The sequence below is a fragment of the Homo sapiens genome, chromosome 5, assembly GCF_000001405.40.
Source record: "Homo sapiens chromosome 5, GRCh38.p14 Primary Assembly".
Taxonomy (NCBI): domain Eukaryota; kingdom Metazoa; phylum Chordata; class Mammalia; order Primates; family Hominidae; genus Homo; species Homo sapiens.
The window spans coordinates 112,563,035-112,569,926 of NC_000005.10; the positions used below are offsets into that span (position 1 = coordinate 112,563,035).

General features: G+C 42.1%; 1 annotated feature.

The window, feature by feature from the left end:
• Positions 484–663: a silencer, noted in NCBI's record as "fragment chr5:111899215-111899394 (GRCh37/hg19 assembly coordinates)". NCBI's record gives its function as "represses an EF-1alpha promoter that drives an FKBP-Casp9 reporter gene in an ReSE screen in HepG2 liver carcinoma cells {active_cell/tissue: HepG2}" and the evidence as "EXISTENCE:reporter gene assay evidence [ECO:0000049][PMID:32094911]".

The following is a 6,892-nucleotide window of genomic DNA, read 5'->3' on the forward strand; positions in this document are numbered from 1 at the left end:
AATTTCTAAGCAGCAAAGCATTCAAGAGGTGGCCTGTCTACTTCTAACAGCATATGCTTATATTTGTGAGGAAAGAGGTATTCTGAAACTGAAACTTGTATTTAAAAAGGAAGCAGAGCATAAAAGTTTGGAAAATTTGCAGCCAGGCCATGTGGTAGAAAGGAAAAATCCATTTTCTGAGGAGGAATTCAAGTTGGCTGCAGAAATTCACACAAGTAAAGAGGAGCTGAATGTTAGCAGCCAAGACAATGGAGCAAATGCCTCCAAGGCATTTCAGAGACCTTTGTGGCAGCCCCTCCCATCACAGGCCCAGAGGCCTAGGAGGGAAGAATGGTTTCATGGGCTTGGCCCAGGGCCCTGCTGCTCTGCCCAACCTCAGGACACTGCTCCGTATGTCCCAGCCACATAAGCTCCAGTTGCAGCTAAAAGGGCCCCACATGTGTCAGGCCGCTGCTCCAGAGGGCATGACCCATAAGTCTTGGCAGCTTTCACATGATGTTAAGCCTGCTGGTGCACAGAGGGCAAGAGTTGAGGCAGGGAGCCTCTGCCTAGATTTCAGAGGATGTATGGAAATGCCTGTATGTCCAGGCAGAAGTCTGCTGCAGGGGCGCAGCCCTCATGAAGAACCTCGGCAAGGGCAGTACAGACAGGAAATGTGGGGTTGGAGCCCCCACACAGAGTCCACACTGGGGCACTGCCTCGTGGAGCTATGAGAAGAGGGCCACAGCCCTCCAGACCCCAGAATGGTAGATCCACCAACAGCTTGCACTGTGTGCCTGGAGAAGCCACAGGCCCTCAATGGCAGCCTGTGAAAGCAGCCGATGACTCTGTATCCTGCAGAGCCACAGGAGCAGAGATGCCCAAGGCCTTGGGAGCCCAGCCCTTGCATCAGTGTTGCTTGGAAGTGAGATATGGAGTCAAAGAAGATTATTTTAGAGCTTTAAGATTTAATTACTACCCTGCTGGGTTTCAGACTTGCATGGGGCCTGTAGCCCTTTTGTTTTGGATGATTTCTCCCTTTTGGAATGGGAACATTTAGCCAATGCCTGTACCCCATTGTCTCTTGGAAATAACTAACTGGTTTTGATTTTACAGGCTCATAGGCAGAAGGGACTTGCTTTATCTCAGATGAGACTTTGGACTGTGGACTTTTGAGTTAATGCTGGAATGAGTTAAGATTTTGGAAGACTGTTGGGAAGGCATGATTGTCTTTTGAAATGTGAGAAAGCCATGAGATTTGCGAGGGGCTGGGGGCAGAATGATATGGTTTTGTTCTGTGTCCCCACTCATATTTCATGTTGAATGGTAATCCCCAATGTTGGGGAAAGGACCTGGTAGAAGGTGATTGGATCACAGGGGTGGATTTCCCCCTTGCTGTTCTTGTGAGAGTGAGTGAGTTCTCACGAGATTTGGTTGTTTGAAAATGTATAGCACTTCACCCTTCTCTCTCTCTCTCTCTCTCCCGCCAGCCATGTGAAGACATGCTTGCTTCCCCTTTGCCTTCCACCACGACTATAAGTTTCCTGAGTCCTCCACAGTTATGCCTCCTGCACAGCCTGTGGAACTGTGAGCCAATTAAACCTCTTTTCTTTATAAACTACCCAGTCTTAATTGGTTATTTATAGCAGTGCGAGAATGGACTAATACAGGGGAGTGTTAGGAAGACATGATTGTGTTTTGAAGTGTCAGAAGGACATGAGATTTGGGAGAGGCAGGGGCAGAATAATATGGTTTGGATTTGTGTCCCTGCCCAAATATTATGTCACATTGTAATCCCCAATGTTGGAGGAAGACCTGGTAGGAGGTAATTGGATCAGGAGGATGGATATTTCCCTTGCTGACTAATACACATTGTGAATTCATTCTCTTCCCAGGGGACACCATGGAAATAGAAACAAGCAAAGTATAACAGTTTTTTATCCTGGGATGGAGACTACATCTTGGAGGAAACAAAAGACCAGAATGAGATTTTCAGATGCTGGGAGAGGACACTGATGTTTACATCACAGAATTTGATGTGATGTAAACACACATACATCACAGGGTGTGATGTCAACATACATACATCATAGAGTGTGATGTAAACACATATACATGCATACATCATAGGGCATAGGGTATAATGTAAACACACATACATACATACATACATCATAGAGCTGCCATAGGGATTAGTGCCTCTTCAGTAGAAATGAGGCTGCTTCCAAAAAAAAAAAATCCACAAGTTCTTTCATCTTTCTCTCTTCTCTCATTCTCTCCCTCTCACTCTCTTTCTCTAAAAGATGGGGTCTTGCTCTGTTACCTAGGTTGGAGTGCAGTGGTGTGATCATAGCTCATTGCAGCCTGAAACTCCTGGGCTCCAGCAATCCTCTCACCTTGGTTTCCCAAAGAGCTTGGACTATAGGTGTGCACAACCATGCCTGGCTCTAATCTCTTCACTGGATTTACCGAAGAAAGTGGCTGGATGTGCACTCTCCAGAGGCTTCTTCCAGCTCTAAAGCAAAATATTCTATGAGAAACATGGTGTTCTAAAGGCTGATCATAAAGAAGTTTGGAATGATGGAAAAATAGACAAAGGGAACTCAGAAAAGTAGGTATTTGTTGAGCATTAACTATGTGCCAGACATGCTGCCTCCTGAAAATAGTTAATTTTTAATTTAATAGGTAATAAATAGATATAGATATTTCCCTCAAGGATGTCTGGAAGAATGGAATAATGGTTAAGAGTATGGGCTCTGCTTACCTTCAGCTCCCTGCTATCAGCTTCGTGACTTTAAGCAAATTACTTAGTCTCTCTGTTTATAGACTGCCTCAATATTCTAGTCTGTAAAGTGGGAAAAGTCATATTCTACTCTCTGGGGTTAGAGTGAGGGCTAGATAAGGTAATTCATATAAAGCAAATGCAGTGTCAGGGCTCAGAACATGATACTTCAAAATATGGCACCTTGGTCTACTGAGCATTGTAAGCTGAAGGAAGCTGAGAAAACAACAGAAGCAGGAAGGTTACTCTTTGACCTTCTTCTGCATTTCTTCCCTGAAGAAGGCCATAAAAGAATTTTCTCACTAATGTCACCTGAACGTAGTTTGTTAGACCCTCACTCCAGAGGTATACTGCTCTATACCCAGAGATCAAAAAGAATCTGTACAAACAGGCTGTATTGGTCTGTTCTCAAATTGCTATAAACAACTACCTGAAAGAAGGTAGTTTATATATAGGAAAGAGATTTAATTGGCTCATGGTTCTGCAGGTTGTAGAGGAAGCATGGCTAATGATCCCCCAGGAAACTTATAGTCACGGCAGAAGGTGAAGAAGAAGCTGGCACATCCTACATGGCTAGAGCAGGAGGAAGAGAGCAAAGGGGGAGGTGCTACATACTTTTAAACAACCAGATCTTGTGAGAACTCTTATCACAAGAAAGCACTAGGGGGATGGTGCTAAACCAATAGGAACCACCCCCATGATCCAATCACCCTCCACCAGGTCCTTTCCCTAATACTGGGGATTACAATTCAACATGAAATATGAGTGGGGACACAGAAAAAAACCATATCATTCTGCCCCTGGCCCCTCCTAAATCTCATGTGTTTCTCACATTTCAAAAGACAATCATGCCTTCCCAATAGTCTCCTAAAATCTTAACTCATTCCAACATTAACTCAAAAGTCTACAGTCCAAAGTCTCATCTGAAACAAAGCAAGTCCCTTCTGTCTAGGAGCCTGTAAAATCAAAACCAGTTAGTTACTTCCAAGATATTTACAATTTCCAAGTTTTGAAAAAACCTTACAATTATGGTAGAAGGGGAAGGGGAACCTGGCAAATCCTACATGGCTGGAGCAGGAGGAAGAAAGTAAAGGAGGAGGTGCTACACTCTTAAACAACCAGGTCTTGTGAGAACTCTATCATGGGACAGCACTACGGGGATGGCTAAACCATTAGAAACCACCTTATGATCCAATCACTTCCCACCAGACCCCTCTTCCAACACTGGGGATACAATTCTATGTGAGATTCAAGCAGGGACACAGAGCCAAACCATATCATTTGTGACTGTGAAGTCACAAACCCCATTCTAGGCATGGATGTTCGAGCCCGCATCTTAAAATTCCACCTATTAGCTTCCCTTTTTTTTTTTTTTTTTTTTTTTTTTTTGCCTAAACTGTGACTTTTGTTTAAACCTTGAGAGTTGATATCAGCCATTTACACATATGGCTGGATAAAGGACACAAGAGCGAAATTTGATTTAAGAAGAGATTTAGAGATAAAACAGTATCACTAAGGTAGGTGAAAGGAAATACAACATAACACAAGGACATGCCATGTTTAGAAACCAACTTACCCAGGGTATATTCTGCCTTCAGACACTTGCCCTGTTTACATCATCCTGCTCTGTTTCAGGCTCACTCACACATAGGTAGGTGCTGCAGGAGAAATCCTCTGATTCTGTGTGGCTACTATATATCCCTGCTAGTATTCTGCAGTCTGTCCATCCAGGTTCTAGGTAAATGTCCTTTGTTTTTCTTTTTTGTGCTGTCTCAGTGACAGCAAGGGGCAGTATGCAGAAGCTGCCTCCATTTTACGTCACAGCAGATGTTTCTTTAACACCTACTATGATTAGATCATGGTGCTAGGGCAGAGAGGATAAATCATGATCTAGGCCTGGCATCACCTTTAGGATCCAATCCATGGATCAGCTCACTGCGAAGTCTAAATATTGCTAATCTATAGACTAATATCAGAAACATAGGAAGAGATTTTTATCTGTAAAGATATTTATACTTTCTGCTGGTAATTTTCATGGTATGAAATACAGAAATAATCATTTTACAAAGGCCATGGTGTCTTTTATATTTCTCTCCTATGTCTCAAGACTGAGAAGATTTAGTCTTTAACATGAAATAAATATCAGAATCAGTTAAATAAACATAAAACAGTAATCAAATGAATACATTTTGTTAACTGGAAAAATCCATTGAATATGACTTATTAAAATCCCTTTATGATACTTGAAAAATGCTGAATGAAAATTACTATTTTTGAATAAAGACTTTCTAGTGTAAAGAGATTGAAAAAAATGAAATGTGAGATTCCATGAGAACGTCTGCACATTCACACTCACTGTGAAGTGCACTGGGCTTTTTTGCTCTTTGGTTTCTTAGCTCTTTGGGGCTGTTTTTAACCACCAGCTCTTTTCTTTTCCTTTTCCTATCAAATCAAAGGGTGAAATGAATGTCAAGGCAGGTTTTATTGCCTCTCTCCTAGTGGATTTGCTGCTCTGAGAATAATATCCTCACCTGGCTGAAGGAAGACAGACCTAGGCTGGACAAGAACGGGTCCCCTAAGACTCCTCCCAACTGACCAGGGATTGCTCCTGGCCTGGACCATTCGTAGTCTTTCTTTGGAATCAGCTAAACCCATTGGGCAGGTCAGGAGTGCAGAACACTCCAGATAAAGGTAAGAGAGGAAGAGGGAAGGGACTCAAGTGATTGGAGTCAGTGTTTCTATTTCCCAAACTAGGCCAGTGAATATCCAGAAGGCAGGGACTGTGTTCTTTGATTCCCCAGTGAACACCACAGTGTCTAATGCATAGTAGGTGGATGTCTAATGCATAGATATTGAATGACTGCTTAATTAAATGAAATAATTAGTACACCATGTGGTTATGTTGCTCAGGGCATAGATTTCATTTTTGTGTGTGTGTATGTCTAAAGGGCATAAACTTTCCTTCTATTTAAATTAATTAAGAACAATTTTATGAATAAATCCTTTTATAGGTAAACTATTTTGCTAGGAGAGAGGGAAGGGGGCAAAGGCTGATAAACTTCCTATTGGGTACTATGTTCACTATCTGGGTGATGGGATCAACGGAAACCCAAACCTCAGCATCACACAATATGCCCTTGTAAAAAACCTGCATATGTAACCCAAATCTAAAATTAAAATAAGTAAAAAGAAACAAGTGAGAAAAAGTTAAAGTACTTTGTAGATGACATGATGCTGTGGGAGGAAATTTTACATATTGAGAGTTTTTTGACATTGACAAAATAAAATAAATTAAATATAAATTTACCAGCCAATGGGAAAAAAGAAACCAATGACAATCAAAGAGATATTTGCCTCAGGGTTCTCTCAGTTTGTCTTACCCTGAACTCCAACCCCATCAACCTCCTGGTGAATGGCCCTCCCCTTAGTGCAAAATCTAGAGGATAAAACCCAGTTTCCTCTCCTTTCTGTGATACTCCAGGGGCATTTCTGAGCCCCAAATAAGTCTTTGATGTCTTCCTAGCAGCCCTCTAAGCAGACAGAGAATGGTATTAACAATGACCACTGCCTTGAACCAGCAGCTAACCCTCCTCCAACAAGAACATACATGGGCTTCTCCAGTGTGGCAGCAGCTATATCCACAGCTGATCAATACCCCACCACTGTCAGTCCCACTCACGGTGGGCTTGTCTACCTAATAATTGCTATCTCCTGTCCCTTTGTTCTTGCTATCAGGACTCCACTTTTATTGGATAGGGTTCACTCTACCATGTGTTCAAGGTGACTCTGGGGTGGCTGTTAATTAGTCTAAGCCAAAGTTTGGCAAACTTTTTTAAAAATAAATTTTATTATAATATTAAAATATTCTGGAAATATTTCCAGTTTTGTGGTCCAGATAGTCTTTGTCACAATTATTCAACTCTATGCTGTTGTAGTATAAAATTAGCTGTAGACAATATGTAGACAATTGAGTGTGGTTGTGTCCCAATAAAACTTTATTTACAAACATAGGCAGCTGGGCAGGCACAGTGGCTCATGCCTGTAATCTCAATGCTTTGGGAGGCAGAGGTGGGAGGATCACTTGAGCCCAGAAGTGAAAGCCAGCCTGGGCAACATAGTGAGACCTCATCT